Source organism: Homo sapiens, chromosome 13 (assembly GCF_000001405.40).
Source record: "Homo sapiens chromosome 13, GRCh38.p14 Primary Assembly".
In the NCBI taxonomy this organism is placed as follows: Eukaryota; Metazoa; Chordata; class Mammalia; order Primates; family Hominidae; genus Homo; species Homo sapiens.
The window spans coordinates 99230972-99249271 of record NC_000013.11 but is presented as its reverse complement, the minus strand read 5'-3'; the positions used below and the strand labels follow the sequence as shown (position 1 = coordinate 99249271).

Sequence of the window (18300 nt, the reverse complement as noted above, 5' to 3'; positions counted from 1 at the left end):
AAGTGGGAGCTAAACACTGGGTACACATGGACATAAAGATGGCAGCAACAGACACGGAAGACTATTAGAGGGGGAAGAAGGGAGGGGGAAGGACGGAGGGGAGCAAGGGTTGAAAAACTAACTACTGGATACCACGCTCACTACCTGGGTGACAGGATCATCTGTACCCCAAACCTCAGCATCATGCAATATACTCATAAAACAAACCTTCACATGTACCCCCTGAATCTGAAAGTTGAAATTTCAAAAAATAAAAACTAAGACTCAGTGACCTACCCCACTGACAAGCAAAATGAAAGATTTCCAGCTTGCATGACTCTGAGTAGATGCTACTAATTAAAATAAGAAGAAAGAGGGAAAGAAGACAGAGAGGAGGCCAGAAGAGAAGAGAGCTTCTGAACATGAGTTTTCTTTGAGTCTATAAATCATCAGGAAATGAGACTCTGGACCAGACATGGTGGTCACGCCTATAATCCCAGCCCTTTGGGAGGCCAAGGCAGGAGGATCGCTGGAGGCCAGGAGTTTGAGACCAGCCTGGGCAAAATAACAAGACCCCATCTCTACAAAAACAAACAAACAAACAAAAAATGGCCGGATACAGTGGCTCACGCCTGTAATCCCAGCACTTTGGGAGGCCAAGGCAGGTCGATCACCTGAGGTCAGGAGTTTGTGACCAGCCTGACCAATACGGTGAAACCCTGTCCTATTAAAAATACAAAAAAAATAGCCAGGCATGGTGGCAAACCCAGCCACTTAGGAGACTAAGGCAGAAGAATCGCTTGAACCAGGGAGGCAGAGGTTGCAGTGAGCAGAAATCACGCCATTGCACTGCAGCCTGGGCGGCAAGAGTGAAAATCTGTCTCAAAAAAAAAAAAAAAAAAAATTAGGTGGGCATGGTGGCACATCTATAGTCACAGCTACTCAGGAGGCTGAGCTGGGAGGACTGCTTGAACCCAGGAGTTTGAGGTGACAGTGAGCTATGATCTCACCACTGTACTCTAGGCCTGGGCAACTGAATAAGACCTCATTTCTAAAAATAAAATAAAAGAAAGAAAGGAAATAAGACTCAAGAAATATCAGGAGAGTAGTGTGGGTTGGAAATAGACAGCTGGGAAGCAAACAATACACGTTCACTGTAGTTGAAATCAAGAAAGTGGGCAAGATAGCCCAAAAAGCTTGAGAAAAGAGCTGCACGCAGTAACTAAGTCAGAAAGAATTAGGAGGGAGTAGTGTGTGGGACTCAAGAGAGCAGGTGGTTTCATGAAACAACGAGAGGTTAAAAGCATTTAATTTGCTACTGAAAGGTTAAAGAGGATGGCCAGTGGCTTTAGAAATTAGGTGGCCACTGGTGACCTTTATAAGAGAAGTTCCTATATAGTGGTGAGGTAAAAAAAAAAAGAGAGAGAGAGAATTAAATAGGAAGTAAAGAACTATAGAGAGTGCAGATAAATTTGGTACTGATGGGAAAGAAAAATATTAGATGTTAGGTGCAAAACACTGAAAGCTGTAAAGCACATATTTTTATTTTAAGTTCCGGGGATACATGTGCAGAACGTGCAGGTTTGTTACAGAGGTATATATGTGCCATGGTGGTTTGCTGCACGTATCGACCCATCATCTAGGTTTTAAGCCTCATATGCATTAGGTATTTGTCCTAATGCTCTCCCTCCCCTTGCCCCTTACCCATAGACAGCCCCAGTGTGTGACGTTCCCCTCCCTGTGTCCATGAAGTACATTGATTTAAAAAAAAACAACACAGGCCGGGCGCGGTGGCTCACGCCTGTAATCCCAGCACTTTGGGAGGCCGAGGCGGGCGGATCACGAGGTCAGGAGATCGAGACCATCCTGGCTAACACGGTGAAACCCCGTCTCTACTAAAAATACAAAAAATTAGCCGGGCGTGGTAGCGGGCGCCTGTAGTCCCAGCTACTCGGGAGGCTGAGGCAGGAGAATGGCGTGAACCGGGGAGGCGGAGCTTGCAGTGAGCCGAGATCGCGCCACTGCACTCCAGCCTGGGCGACAGAGCGAGACTCCGTCTCAAGAAAAACAAAACAAAACAAAACAAAAAAAAAAAAACAGTAGTTTTCTCTCTTTAGTTTTTGAAGCTTTGCTACCATCAATAAAAGATATATTTGTGGCTGGGTGCAGTGGCTCACACCTGCAATTCCAGCACTTTGGGAGGCCAAGAAAGGAGGATCACTTGAGCCCAGGAATTCAAGACCAGCCTAGACAACATAGCAAAACCTTTTCTCTACCAAAAATAATAATAAAAATGTTTTTAAGAGATATATTTACATTACACAAAGTTTACTTGTTGAACTAATTGTGTTCCAAAAAGTCTATGTTTGAGAAAGCCTGAAGATTTAAAAAAGTCATACTATATAATGTTTTGTGACTTGAAAAGGAAGAGAAATATATTTTCATTCAGGAGATGGCTGAATTAACATTTATAGTGTCTTTCAAAGGGGATGCTACAACTTTTCAATTTATTCAAGTTTGTAACTCTTGCTACAAACTGAGATTTAAATAGGTAAATCCCTTCCCTCTTCTGAGAGTAAGCAAAAGTATTCCCACCAACTTCAAAATTGAATCAATCTTTTTATGTACTAGTTAATGGGATTCCAAAATTAAATAAATGAATATGAAAGTTCTACTGTCATTCGATTCCATGTGCAGCAGGAAAAAGAAGACAAGGAGACAGTGTAAATAAGAATAATGCTAAGTTACTATCCATCTCCAAAGTTCATTCTAACACAGACACACATACCTCCCATCACTCAGTAGGCTATACAGGAACCAAAAAGAACTGGCCTGATAGGAGATGTTTTGGGGAAAACTGATGATTTGGCAATGCTGCTGCTTTCCTGAGTCAATGTGGAATCATTCCTGATGACTACACTATTTTCCCCAATAACAGAATACTCAACTTTAACTTCTCAGTCTAATTACAATGACCACCTGTGGAATTCAAACTGCATGCTAATTATGACACAGAACTTTATGCCTCCATTCAAACATTATTCAGAATCATACATTATTAAAAGAGCTAAAGGTCAACATTCATGGATATTCACACCAACTATAATTCACAAAAGGCAGCTACACTGTAAACATTAACAATGCAGGTACGAAAGCTATTAGAACACTAACTATAATTTTAAAATAGGGATCCAAAGTGAATTTGAATCAAGATACATACAGTAGCTTAATAGTTCTCAAAACATATATTTAAAATTAAAAGGAGACTGAAGATAGTACACACAGAATTTTAAATATCTGGTATCTATATTTCATACTATCTCATTTCCCAAATAGTGTCTCAGATACTTCATTCAGATGCTTGGAGGTCATTTACATGTGCTAACAACTCTGCTCCTAGATTCTAATTATTTCACACACTAATACATGGTTTTTTGGGGGTATTTTGTTTGTTTTTTGAGGCGGAGTCTCACTCTGTCACCCAGGCTGAAGTGCAGTGGAGCGATCTCCGCTCACTGCAACCTCTGCCTCCCGGGTTCAAGTGATTCTTCTGCCTCAGCCTCCTGAGCAGCTGGGACTACGTGCCACCACGCCCAACTAATTTTTGTATTTCTAGTAGAGATGGGGTTTCACCATATTGACCAGGCTGGTCTTGAACTCCTGACCTCGTGATCCGCCCACCTCGGCCTCCCAAAGGTGGCATGAGCCACCGCGCCCGGCCTGTTTTTTTGTTTGTTTGTTTGAGATGGAGTCTCGTTCTGTCAACTCTACTCCTAGATTCTAGTTATTTCACACACTAATACATGGTTTTTGTTTTTTTTAAAGAAGATCAACGCAATATGAAAGCATACAAATTCTGAGTGGGGTTGGCCACGGCAGGTTGTCTACAAAGTTATAACCTATACACCGGCTTTGTTTTATGTTTGATGGAAGTGTTTAAACATTATCAGCTTTTAAAAAATTATTCTTCAGAAGCTTAACTTCGTACAAATTAATTTTGTTTCCTAATCTAATTAAACTATATTTTTGTGTTTAGTTCATAAAATTACAAAGACAAATTTCACTATAAAAACACACAAAACTAATTCTATCAGGATCAGAATAGGAAATTCACTTAAAATTCTCTAAAACACAAACTTTCAAAGCTAAAAAAAGAAGGTGCCTGGGCAAGGTGGCTCACACAGTGGCTCAAGCACTTTGGGAGGCCGAGGCGGGTGGATCACCTGAGGTCAGGAGTTCAAGACCAGCCTGGCCAACATGGTGAAACCCTGTCTCTACTAAAAAATACAAAAATTAGCCAGGCATGGTGGCACGTGCCTGTAGTCCCAGCTACTTGGGAGGCTGAGGCAGGAGAATCGCTTGAACCCGGGAGGCGGAGGTTGTAGTGAGCCGAGATCGTGCCAATGCACTCCAGCCTGGGTGACAGAGCGAGACTCCGTCTCAAAAAAAAAAAAAGTAAAATAAATTTTAAAGAAAGAATATAAAATTGATTCTATTTCAAGAACATAATAAAAATGTAGGCATAGATTAGACTTTTTACATATAAAATCAATTTAACTATATCTAGAAGTTTAAAATATTATTTTACTGACTTTCACATAATAATAATAACACTTTAAATCAGATTCAAGTAGTTCTAAATTAAGTCAATCTTTAAGTGCTACTTACAATCCAGAAGGCAAATTACTAGCTGCAGTGATGCCAAAGAAATACTGCATAGCTTCAATGAGGAGAAAGTCAAATAAGGCTGACAAAACCCAGGAACCCAGCAAAAAGGACTACAAAATAAAACAGCAGAAAAATGATAGAGATGAGTCTCCTAAAAATAAACTAACATTTATTCAGCTAGAATCAGCTCAGAGGTGTGTATTCATATGTATGTGTGTGTGTGTATATACACACATGCATATGTGTGTATATATATTTGAAATTATTTGTTTTTATTAAAATAGACTTTAGAAAATGGGCGGGGTAAACCCATATTGCTCAAATGTATTAACAGCCATAATTTTTAAGTATGTTGAAGATATATTTTTAACAAGTAAAACACAAACCACTAAGCAAAATAAATTATAATTTTATTAAAGTCAAAGTATTAAAATTTGTATTAGTGTTCACAACTAATACTACATATTATCATTATCACTATTATTATTATGCTAATGTCTTACATTTTAAAATTTTCTTTGGTTAATGTCCATGTGCCTCAAATCAGATACAGAATAGTGTAATTAAAAAGATAACTGTAAATAACAACACCAAGTTTAACAAAATAAAATCCATTTAAACAAAATTTTTTTCTACAGCCTAAGTAGCAAAGACAAAATACATAAAAACTTACTGCAAATTTTCTGCTTCCATATCTTCTTTCAAATATCCTAAAATTATAAATAAGCAGACTACTGCAGAAAGTATCTTTCAAATCAAGGCAAATTATTCTTCCACATATCAACCTCCAAATCTAGATGGGGATTTAAAAAAGAACAATAAACAAGAGTAAAATTTGTTCGGGTCTCTTCCTTAGCAAATTTGTTATGTTTACACTGCCTATTTTTAATGTCCTAAACAAAATCATAATGCACACACCAAAGGAAAACTATATATGTATGTTCTCTGAGCTCAAGTCTCTCATAGTAAAAATTCCTCCCAACAGTGGCACGAAAGGTACTTGAATTTTTTTGTGCTTATAAGAAAACATATTCTCATTAAGATAACAGAAAACTGCCTATAAGAAATTTCAGGATCACGTTTAGTAAGATTTTTTAAAATTATATACGTAAACTAGAATGAAAGGCTAACAAATGTTCATTTTTATGTTATTGAATAAGACAAAGTTGTAACTGAAAAACAACTTAGGTATAAACTCAAAAATATGCATTTCTGAGCTTAATTTTAATCATCAACTTACTTCATAGCAACTATGCAAAGTAATTTATGGCAACTGCTGCTAAATATGACTAGGTTTGAAATATTAGTTTATTTAAATCATTGTTTCACCCAACTTCTGGCTGCATAAAAAACATATAAGGGGACATACAAAAAAAAAAAAAAAAAAAAAAGAGCTACTCAAAGGCCTATTTTTGAGTCTGCTTAAACATTTTTCAGATTTTTAAAGATAATCCCAATGACATCTCAAACATCCTAATCTTATTTCCCCTTCACAATGACCTTATGAGATAGGTAAAACAAATATTAATTCCAACTTTTCTTTGTATTTTTATTGTGGTAAAACAGATATAAAAGTTAAAATTTTGCTGGCTGCCCAGTCTGGAAAGTGAGGAGCGTCTCTGCCCGGCCGCCATCCCATCTAGGAAGTGAGGAGCGCCTCTTCCCGGCCGCCATCCCATCTAGGAAGTGAGGAGCGTCTCTACCCGGCCGCCCATCGTCTGAGATGTGGGGAGCACCTCTGCCCCGCCGCCCCGTCTGGGAGGTGAGGAGCGTCTCTGCCCGGCCGCCCCGTCTGAGAAGTGAGGAGCCCCTCCGCCCGGCAGCCACCCCGTCTGGGAAGTGAGGAGCGTCTCCGCCCGGCAGCCACCCCGTCCGGGAGAGAGGTGGGGGTCAGCCCCGGCCAGGCCAGCCGCCCCGTCGGGGAGGGAGGTGGGGGGGGTCAGCCCCCCGCCCGGCCAGCCGCCCCGTCCGGGAGGGAGGTGGGGGGGTCAGCCCCCCGCCTGGCCAGCCACCCCGTCTGGGAGGTGAGGGGCGCCTCTGCCCGGCCGCCCCTACTGGGAAGTGAGGAGCCCCTCTGCCCGGACAGCCGCCCCGTCCGGGAGGGAGGTGGGGGGGGCAGCCCCCCGCCCGGCCAGCCGCCCCGTCGGGGAGGGAGGTGGGGGGGTCAGCCCCCCGCCCGGCCAGCCGCCCCGTCTGGGAGGTGAGGGGCGCCTCTGCCCGGCCGCCCCTACTGGGAAGTGAGGAGCCCCTCTGCCCGGACAGCCGCCCCGTCCGGGAGGGAGGTGGGGGGGTCAGCCCCCCGCCCGGCCAGCCGCCCCGTCCGGGAGGTGAGGGGCACCTCTGCCCGGCCACCACCCCGTCTGGGAGGTGTGCCCAGCAGCTCATTGAGAACGGGCCATGATGACAATGGCGGTTTTGTGGAATAGAAGGGGGGGAAAGGTGGGGAAAAGATTGAGAAATCGGATGGTTGCCGTCTCTGTGTAGAAAGAAGTAGACATGGGAGACTTTTCATTTTGTTCTGTACTAAGAAAAATTCTTCTGCCTTGGGATCCTGTTGATCTGTGACCTTACCCCCAACCCTGTGCTCTCTGAAACATGTGCTGTGTCCACTCAGGGTTAAATGGATTAAGGGCGGTGCAAGATGTGCTTTGTTAAACAGATGCTTGAAGGCAGCATGCTCCTTAAGAGTCATCACCACTCCCTAATCTCAAGTACCCAGGGACACAAACACTGCGGAAGGCCGCAGGGTCCTCTGCCTAGGAAAACCAGAGACCTTTGTTCACTTGTTTATCTGCTGACCTTCCCTCCACTATTGTCCTATGACCCTGCCAAATCCCCCTGTGCGAGAAACACCCAAGAATGATCAATAAAAAAAAAAAAAGTTGAAAAAAAAAAAAAGTTAAAATTTTAACTATTGAGTATACAATTCAGTGGTATTAAGCAAATTCACAATATTGTACACCCATCACCACTATCTATTTCCAGAACTCTTCATCATCCTAGACAGAAATGCCATGCTAACTTCCTGTTCCCTCTCCCCTTAGCCCCAGGAAACACTATTCTACTTAATGTCTCTATGAATTTGCTTATATTAGATACCTCATGTAAGTAAGATCATTTATTTGTCCTTTTGCATTTGCTCATTTCACTTTGCATAATATTTTCAAGGTTCATGGTAAAGCATGTATCAATCTCATTCTCATTTATAGTTGAATAATATTCTATGGTATGTATACACCACATTTTGTTTATCCATGTATCTGTTAATAGACATTTGGGTTTCTGCCTTTTTGCTATTGTGAATAATGCTGCTGCGAACATTGGTAATAGTAACTCTTTTCTTTTTTTTTTTTTTTTTTTGAGACAGGGTCTCACTCTGTTGCCCAGGCTGTAGTGCAGTGATGTGATCACATCTCACTGCAGGCTCAACCCTCTGAGACTGAATCAATACTCGCAGCTCAGCCTCCTGAGTAGCTGGGACTACAGGTGTGCACCACCACACCCGTCTAATTTTTGTATTTTTTGTAGAGATGGTGTTTTGCCATGTTGCCCAGGCTGGTCTTGAACTCCTGGGCTCAAGCAATCCATCCACAAACGTTGGCCTCCCAAGGTGCTGAAATGACAGGTGTGAGCCACCACACCCAGCCAACTGTCTTAAGGAAAAAGAGGCACAGAGAAACTAAAGTTTGTAAAGTCATACAACCTGTGCTCTTGCCAACAGAAATAAGAATACAAATGAGAAGTCTGAGCATATCAACTGTCAAAACCTGTCACATATGTCTCTACTCCAAGCAAGACACCAGGCAGAGTCTTTGTCATGACTGTACTGGCCACCAGAGTTCACCTCACCTGCCAGCCCAGCTGAACTGGGATGGCTGCCTCTAAGGCTGTGTTGAGGCCATAGCTGGGCTCAAGGAGAAACAGTACCGGAGTCACACTGAAACTTTAGGCAGCATATACCTCCATCAATATGATCAATGAGGCAGTACACGAGAGCACATAGGAAACTGCCAAGGACTTTACCAATGTCCGATGATGATGACTGTCATCTCCTCAGAACACCAGATTCAAAAACCATAAGAGGCAGCTCCAAGTCCTCTATCCCCACATTTAATATTACAATGAAAATACTCTACTCAGGGATAAGCTCTGAGAGCCACTAAGAAAATCTGAGGATTAAGGAAATGGAGAGTTTGTAATTACTAAGATATAACAAACTGCATTTCTAGAACCCCATTTTTTCAGTTAATGAAAATAAAGCTGCTAGCTACAGTTTTAAATAATTTATGTGTTGCAATCATACTCAAGGACACAAAACTATGAGAGCTGGTATAAGAATAAACCACTGCATATTATTATACAGGTGAATGTCCCCTAAAGACTGGTAACTGGCTACCGGCTTGCACTCAGCAAAGCACTGCTTCTGCAACTCAACCTAAAGAAAACTGACTGTACCTCTGCATTCACTGCCAAAATCTGGAGGTTCAGAACTTACAAAATAAAGCCCTTCATCAACTGAGCCCTCCTGGACTTCTCCAATCTAAGCCTGGGTTTGCCTCAAAGCACGCTTCCTGTACCACACTCCTAAGGGTCTGAAATTCATGTTACTTCCTGAAGTAAAATGCCCTTCCCTCTCTTCATTGCTAATTAACAGTCATCCCTTCTTTTTGGACCAAACTGAAGGCTCACACCCCTAAGACTCTCCAGAGGTAGGCCCCCAATACTGGTCCCTATTTCCTTGATCACCCCCCAAGGATGTCATGTACACCTGTGACCTACAGATCACGTTCTTATGTGTATGCGTGTGTTTAGATTTCCCAAGGCAGAACTGCAACTCCCATATCTCTCATGAATACACACTGAGAGCCTCTTAGGTGTTTTAAGTGTTAATCTGGATGTGGCTATTCCCATTCCTGGACAGAAGAGTGGTCTTCTTCCATCCAAGCAGGTCACCACCTTTAAAGCACAGATGCCCACAGAGTGGGCTTAGCCAAACGAACCAAATTAACTCCAGAAATTAGGAAGGTATCAACCCAAGGCCCGGGGGCCCTTACATTAGTGGTCCTCAAAGCCAGCCATACACTAGAATCCCCTAGGGGTTGTTTTTAAATGTACAGCAATGCCCAGGCGCCACCACCAGACTCTGTGACTCAGTTGTTCTGGGGCGAGATACTGTGTTTATATAAATCTAGGTATAAATTATACCTTCACGTAAGTATAGATATGGAGACAGATCTTTGAAGTTTTTTCAGGTGATTCTAATGTGTGTCCGGGGTTGAGAAGGACTGCATTATAGCAACTGAAATAATACAGAAGCTACACTATCTTCTGACAAATCAGTAATACGGATAAATAACTAAAAGACCTGCACAGTAAGTTGGTGAAGCCAATCTGAGCAATGGTATTAATTATATCACTATGAAGAAAAGGTGTCAGTGTTCAAGAAATGGATTATTATGCTTAAAATGGGCTAACCAAGTGCTTAGCAAAGAAAGGGTAGCAGTCATATACCAGAATTTGCATGAACACTCCAATTCATAGACAAGAACCCAGTACTAGCATTTTCAACAAGATCAGTCCAGAAACCTTGAAAAGCACTTCTGCTCTTTCCCACAGCAGAAACTCAAGAGAAATTTCTTACTTCGTTTAACCACCACTGTAAAAGTTATCAAAAATTCATAATCTGATACAGCTGACAGAGCCTAGCTCCTCTAATCAAATATTCAAATTGAGACAAGGTTTTGGCAAAGCTAAGTATGCCTACTGGGCATTAAAAAAAGATTAAACATTGTTTTTAATTCCCTTGAAGTTATAAATTACACTTCTCTGAGTAAAAAGTGAAACTGAAAACAAATGTGCCTAATAAAAGGAAATACTGCCATTGCTTCATTATTATCTGTTTTGCTGAAAAATCAATAACTAGAAAAGTTACTTAATGAAATATTAATAATAAATATTTCTTACAAATTGGGGGCTTTGAGGGACTAACAGCAGGAAGAAAAAGCAAATCTAGAAAGAAAAAAAAAAAACTGTCCGCTCTCCTCTCAGGGGCCAATGAGGCAGAGCTTACCTGGAAGTCGTTCTTGACTGCGTGAAGGTCATACACAAAGAGCTTCTGGCAGTGAGGCAGGAGGAGGGCGAGCAGGAGGGAGAGGGCACTGGGGACCAGCAGAAGGCTCTTCGACAGAGGCGCCTTGTCTGGAGGGAAAAAGGAAAGCACTTTCAGAATGATTGTTCCTAAGATTTAAAAAACCACATGCGTGAAAAGCAAGAGAATTCACTTCTTTTAAATCAGAATGAAGACAAAGTCCAGAAACTCTGAAATTTGGTTCTAATATCCACTTTCAAAACATCGACCTGGGGATGTAAGTGATCAAAAGACACTGGAAACAAGCAGAATGCCCTAGCAGGGCTTCATTGCCAGTTGGCTCTTAAATGAGACCAAGTTTACAGCCAGAACTTCCATAGAACACCTTTCAGAAAATGGCTACCCAAGTGTAAAGAAATAGAGAAGTGTGTTTCTATCAAATCAGCCAGTTAGCTCCTGAGCATGCACAAAACTCATACATATATAAAAATACATTTTTAATTTCATTTTTTAATTGATACATATTAGGGAACACATTTTGGGAGTACATATGATAATCTGATACATTCATATAATCATATCCAGAGAGAGTCTCACTTTGTCGCCCAAACTGGAGTGCAGTGGCGCAATCTCGGCTCACTGCAACCTCCACCTCCCAGGTTCAAGCGATTCTCCTGCCTCAGCCTCCTGAGTAGCTGGGATTACAGGCACGTGCCACCATGCCTGGCTAATTTTTGTATTCTTAGTAGAGACCATGTTTCACCATGTTGGCCAGACTGGTCTCAAACTCCTGGGCTCAAGCGATCCTTCTGCCTTGGCCTCCCAAAGTGCTGGGATTACAGGCATGGGCCACGGCACCCAGCCCGGGTAATTATCTTAAATATCTCTCTTTTCTTTAGGCTGAATTATTCTCTTCTAGCTATTTTGAAACGTACGATAGATTAGTGTCAACTACAGACACGCTCCTGACCTACTGAACACCGTCTTATTTCTTCTAAGTGTATATTTGTACCCATTAATCAACCTCTTTTTATCCCCCTCTCCCTCCTACCCTTCCCAGCCTCTGATAACCACCAACCTACTCTCTGTCTTCATGAGATCCACTATTTTAGCTTCCACGTGTGAGAACATGCAATCTTTGTCTTTTTGTTCTTATTTCACTTACATGTCTTCTAGTTCCATCCATGTGGCTGCAAATGACAGGATTTCATTCTTTTTATAGCTGAATAATATTCCACTGTGTGTGTGTGTGTGTGTGTGTGTGTATATATATATATATATACGCATAAAATTTTCTTTATCTATCATCCATTTTTTTCCCATTCATTGGAAACTCAAAAGAGGGAACTAGTCAATAAAGATGGAAGTATACAACAAAGAAGGCCGGGCCTGATGGCTCACATCTGCATTGATGGACACTTCAGTTGATTCCACATTTTGGCTATTGTGAATAGTGCTGCAATAAGCATGGAAGTGCAGATATGTCCTTGAAATACTGATTTCCTTTCTTTTGAATATATATCCAGTAGTGGATCATATGGTAGTTTTATTTTTTTTTTTTAAGAACCTCCATACTGTTTTCCATCGTGACTGTACTAATTTACATTCCCACCAACAGTGTACCAGGGTTCTCCTTTCTCCACATCCTGGCCAGCCTCTGTTTTGTTTGGTAGTTGTTGCCGTTTTTGAGACAGAGTTTTGCTCTTTCGCCCAGGCTGGAGTGAAGTGGTGCCATCTCGGCTCACTGCAACCTCTGCCCCCCGGATTCAAGTGATTCTCCTGCCTCAGCCTACCAAGTACCTGGGATTACAGGCACCCACCACCATGCCCAGCTAATTTCTGTATTTTTAGTAGAGACGGGGTTTCACCAAGTTGGCCAGGCTGGTCTTGAACTCCTGACCTCAGGTGATACCCACCTCGGCCTCCCAAAGTACTAGGATTACAGGCATGAGCCACCGTGCCCAGCAGCCAGCCTCTGTTATTCCTGTCTTTTTGATAAAAGCCATTCTAACTCGGGTGAAGTATCTCATTGTGGTTTTGATTTGCATTTCTCTGATGATCAATAATGTTGAGCACATTTTCATATGCCTGTTGGCCATTTGTATGTCTTCTTTTGAGAATGTCTATTCAGATCTTTTGCCCACTTTTAAAATGGACTATTTGGGTTTTTGCTATTGAGTTGTTTGAGCTCCTTACAAATTCTGGTTACTAATCCCTTGTCAGATGGATTAATCTGCAAGTATTGCAAGTATTTTCTCCCATTCTGTGGGTTATCTCTTTGTTGACTGTTTCTTTTGCTGTGCAACTGGAGCTTTTTAGTTTGATTTAATCCCACTTGTCTATTTTTCCTTTGGCTGTCTGTGCTTTTGAGATCTTACACAAAAAGTCTTTGCCCAGACCAACGTCCTGGAGCATTTCTCCAACATTTTCTGCTAGTAGTTTCATAGTTTCAGGTCTTAGACTTAAGTCTTTAATCCATTTCGATTTGATTTTTATGTATAGTAAGAAATATGGGTCTTTCATTTTTGTGCATATGGTTAACCCGTTTTACCAGCACAATTTTTTTTTTGAGACAGGGTCTCACTCTATTGCCCAAGCTGGAGTCCAGCAGCATGATCACAGCTCACTGCAGCCTTGAACTCCTGGGCTCAAGTGATCCTCCCACCTCAGCCTCCCTAGTAGCTGGGACTACAGGCACAAGCCACCACACCTGGCTAATTTTTTTTTGGAGAAATAGTCTTGCCATGTTGATCAGGCTGGTCTCAAACTCCTAGCCTCAAGTGATCCTCTCGCCTCAGCCTCCCAAAGGGTTAGGATGATAGGCATGAGCCACTGCACCCGGCCCCAGCACAATTTTTTTGAAGGGACTGTCGTTTCTCCATTGTATGTTCTTGCCACCTTTTTTGGCTGCAAATGCATGGATTTGTATCTTGGTCTTCTAATCTGCTCCACTGGTCTATGTGTCTGTTTTTATGTGAGTATCCTGCTGATTTGGTTACTCTGTAGTATATTTTGAAGTCAGGCAGTATGATACTTCACCTTGTTCTTTTTGCTCAGGATTATTTTGGCTACTCAGAATCTTTTGTGTTTCCATATAAATCTTAGGATTTTTTTTTCTATTTCTGTGAAGAATGTCATTGATATTTTGAGAGGATTGCATTGAATCTGTAAATTGCTTTGGGTAGTATTGCCATTTTAACAATACTGATTCTTCCAAACCATAAGCATGGAATACCCTTTCATTTTTTTATGTCCTCTTCAAGTTCTTTCATCAGTGTTTGATAGTTTTCCTTGCACATATATTGCACATCTTTGGTTAATTGATTCCTGGGTGTTTTGTTTTTAAAAAATTAAAAGAGGCTAAAAGTGTTAACACTGCTGACTGTAGTGGCCCCCTGAGATTTTCCACCATGAGTACAACTGGAGCCCAGGTCAGTTTTCCAGGAGAGACTAGTGTGACCTCTGCCTTGTACTAAAAGCAGTCACGCCCCTCTTCCTCCTTGATCTAGTCATTTACATATTAAGTATGACAGAATTATACTACTGAGGGTATTTTAGAAACTATAAATGTCTTCTCTCTTCCCTCTGATATGAGAGAAAAAAAGAAGCAAATTATGTTTTCTTCAAGCTCACTTTTTTTCCCAATAGAACAAAATATCAGCTTTCACCTACTCAGGAACATTTCCCCCAAGTATGTCATTTAATCAAAATGCACACTATTGTGAGACATCTAGGTAGCCTCTTCTCTCCCTCTGGTCTTCCTTGGTTCCACCTTTGTGTTTTCATGCCTTCCTCTCTCATAGATCCTGAAAACAAGCCCCTGAAGCTACTTGCTGAGCTAATCCATGGGAAAGAACAAGAGCTATGAGAAGGGAAAGGACCTGGGGCCCAGAAGACTTGGCCTTGAACCTTCATTTTCACACTTACTGATGCTTGTCATTGGACACAGTATCTGACCTCTCTGAGCTTCAGTCACTTCATCTGACCTAATTCTCAGGGTTATGCTAAGAATGAAGTGAGGTAATGCATGTAGAAATGGCTAGCACAGGCAGGGCGCAGTGGCTCACGCCTGTAATCCCAGCACTTTGGGAGGCTGAGGCGGGCGGATCACCTGAGGTCAGGAGTTTGAGACCAGCCTGGCCAACATGGCGAAACCCCATCTCTACTAAAAATACAAAAAAATTACCCGGGCGTGGTGGCAAGCGCCTATAATCCCACTTGGGAAGCTGAGGCGGGAGAATCACTTGAATCGCTTGAACCTGGAAGGTGGTGGTTGCAGTGAGCCGAGATTGTGCCACTGCACTCCAGCCTGGGCGACAGAGTGAGACTCCATCTCAAAAAAAAAAAAAAAAAAAAAAAAAAAAAGAAACGGCTAGCACAATGTCCGGCCCATGATGGAGACTCAGAAAAATAAAGTGCATCTCAATCTAGGAAAACCGCTGAAATAACATGCTTTCCTTGGAAATAATTACTTTATATAATAACCCTGTACCTCCCTTTGTATGGGAGCTCTGTTTTCACTCTATTAAATCTTGCAACTGAAAATAAGAATAATAATAATAATAAAATAATAACCCTGTAATATTCATAGTATCAAAAGACTAGTCTTGAGAACTCAAGTGGTACCAGCAGATTTGGTTACAAAAACATGGCTGAGATTTCCATCAAATAATGAAATACTTACGCTTCATCGGGAACCAAAAACACTGCCTTTTTTTTTCTCCCATCCTTTTACCGTGAAAAAGTTTACAATTAAGACTTACACTAGGGTTTACATAATGATAATTTTGATAATTCTGTCATTACTTTTCTATTTCTTAGCTGGCCTTCTGTCTTCATTCTCCTTGTATCTCGGTATCACTCTACACTCATGGATTTTTACTTAGTCAATGTGTCACAATCAGTTGCATTCTTTTTCCAACGTTCAGATGGTCCAGGTGGAAGCCCTCTGACCAGCTCCTGCGGCCTTTCAACCAGGGCCCTCAACGCCTGCTCTGGCTGCTCCACCTACCCACTCATCTTCCTTGCTTTAGGCTCACCTATACCCGCCCTGCCCAAGACCTAGAATTTCTCTAAGGATCCCTGTTAGGGAATGTTGGGAAATGGTCTTTAGAAACCAAATCTGAGGCCGGGTGCAGTGGCTCATGCCTATAATCCCAGCACTTTGGGAGACCGAGGAGAGCAGATCATGAGGTCAGGAGTTCAAGACCAGCCTGGCCAACATAGTGAAACCCTGTCTCTACTAAAAATACAAAAATTAGCTGGGCATGGTGGTGCGTGCCTGCAGTCCCAGCTACTTGGGAGGCTGAGGCAGGAGAATCACTTGAACCCGGGTAGTGGAGGTTGCAGTGAGCCGAGATCACGCCACTGCACTCCAGCTGGGGCAACAGAGTAAGACTTCGTCTCAGAAAAAAAAAAAAAGAAACCAAATCTGGGCATTAGATGTGCTCACTGTAATTTTCTGGGTCCCAATGCTTCTAGCTCTTTCAGTAATCAGAGCTAGAAAATATATTTTTGAAATCATGATTCATAATGATATTTCCAATTCAAATTTAACAATTTAACACTACAGTGCTATTTTTCTTTTCTTTTTTTGAGACAGGGTCTCCTTGTGTTGCCCAGGCTAGAGTGCAGTGGCGTGATCTCAGCTGACTGCAACCTCCACCTCCTAGGCTCAAGCAATCCTCCTGCTTCAGCCTCCCAAGTAGCTGGGATTACAGGGGCAAGGCCCCATGACCGGCCAGGTTTTTTTTTCGTTGTTTTTGTTTTTTTGTGTGTGTAGAGACAGGGTTTTGCCATGTGGCCCAGGCTGGTCTTGAACTCCTGAGCTCAAGCGATCTGCCCGCCTCGGCCTCCCAAAGTGCTGGGATTACAGCTGTGAGCCACCATGCCTGGCCTACAGTGCTTTTTCCTAAGGACTTTGCATTTCTGTCGTTTCTCTCTTAAATATTAATAGTTAGCTGCTTGCTTTATCCTAGGTTATACATAAAATTTTAATATTACAGTATCAGTATCATTACAAACAATAAACTACTTATTAAGCCCACTGGGCGAAGTTTAAGATACCTTTGAAGATTTTTTTTTTTCTTTTGGTCCTTAGAGTATGTGTGTGTGAATATATATATATATATCTATATCTCTCAACTAAGGATGGACAGGGTCTTGTGTTCAAAAGCTACTTGAAAGAATTATTTTCCCTAGTGGTTATAACACAGAGATTTGTTTATTTCTGTTTACATTCAATATTAAAGTTTGCTCCTTTCTCAGTTAAAATTTTTGAATATGTTAAATATTTACATTGTTCAAAAACCAAAACCAGGAAAAACAAAGGTTTACTTTCACTTCAGTTATTTATCCCCTCTATCCCATACCCCCAAACCCACTCCCATAGATACACACTTCTAATAGTTTCTAGCTTAACTCCCAATTTTCTTTTTTAAAAAACAAGTAACACACATTAACCTATATAAATACACATGTAGACATGGTACAAAAATACACACACTGGCAGTTCCTCATTTCTGCATAGCTCTGATAGGCACAGACTTCAGTTACCATGATTTGGTAAAACAACACCAGCTCTTCAGTACATAGATCATTATGTCAGTAAGACGTGCATTATGATCAGCAACCAATCATGTATGTCACTTCTTTCTAAGTCTGTCAGTGACTGGTCACTGGGCAGCTGTTATTCCATTCATGCACAGACAGTAAAGTATGTAGTTGTGTTGCCTCATCTTCCAATGATAAATTCATGTGACATTTTACAAAAATAGATCATCAAAAGAGGGAACTAGTCAATACACATGAAAGTATACAAAAAGAGAGCCAGGCGTGGTGGCTCACATCTATAATCCCAGCACTTTGGGAGGCCGAGACGGGTAGATCACTTAAGGTCAGGAGTTTGAGACCAGCCTGGTCAACATGGCAAAACCCCGTCTCTACTAAAAATATAAAAAGTAGCTGGGCGTGGTGGCACGCCTGTAGTCCCAGCTACTCGGGAGGCTGAGGTGGGAGACTCACTTGAACCCAGGAGACAGAGACTGCAGTGAGCCGAGATCACACCATTGTACTCCAGCCTGGACGACAGGGAGAAACTCCATCTCAAAAAAAAAAAAAAAAAAAAAAAATGTATACAGCAAAGCAACAAAAAGTAATAGTGCTGGAAGTGAAATGTGAATCAAATGTTATCAGGTTATAAAAGAAATATCAAACCACAGGAATGTTGACACTGCCACCATTCAAGGTGGGCAGCTAGAGAAACTCAGTGAAGGTGAACTTATCAACAGGAAGGTGACTGTGATAGAATACTGGCTCCCCAAGGAGGTCCACGTCCTAATCCCCAGAACCTGTGACTATGTTGGGTTACACAGCAAGGGGGAGTTAAGGTTGCAGACAGAATTGAGGTTGCTAATCAGATGTCCTTGAGATGAGACTACCTAAGATATCCAGCTGGATTCTATGCAATCACAAGAGTCCTTTTTTTTTTGAGACGGAGTCTCCCTCTGTCGCCCAGGCTGGAGTACAGTGGCACAATCTCAGCTCACTGCAACCTCCGCCTACCG

At 41.9% G+C, this 18300-nt stretch overlaps 1 protein-coding gene across 6 annotated transcripts in view; it reads right to left on the bottom strand.

The window, feature by feature from the left end:
* UBAC2 (UBA domain containing 2) overlaps positions 1 to 18300 on the bottom strand; it is a 185651-nt gene that overhangs the window by 137233 nt on the left and 30118 nt on the right. For 3 of the 6 annotated variants that reach the window (NM_177967.4, XM_011521083.3, XM_011521082.3), the window contains one exon: positions 10718 to 10845. In NM_177967.4, coding sequence (NP_808882.1) covers positions 10718 to 10845 — 128 coding nt within the window. Of the gene's footprint in view, positions 1 to 4647; positions 4758 to 5320; positions 5441 to 10717; positions 10846 to 17758; positions 17839 to 18300 lie in introns of those variants that run through there. The other 3 variants (NR_026644.2, NM_001144072.2, XM_047430286.1) reach the window with 2 other exon arrangements.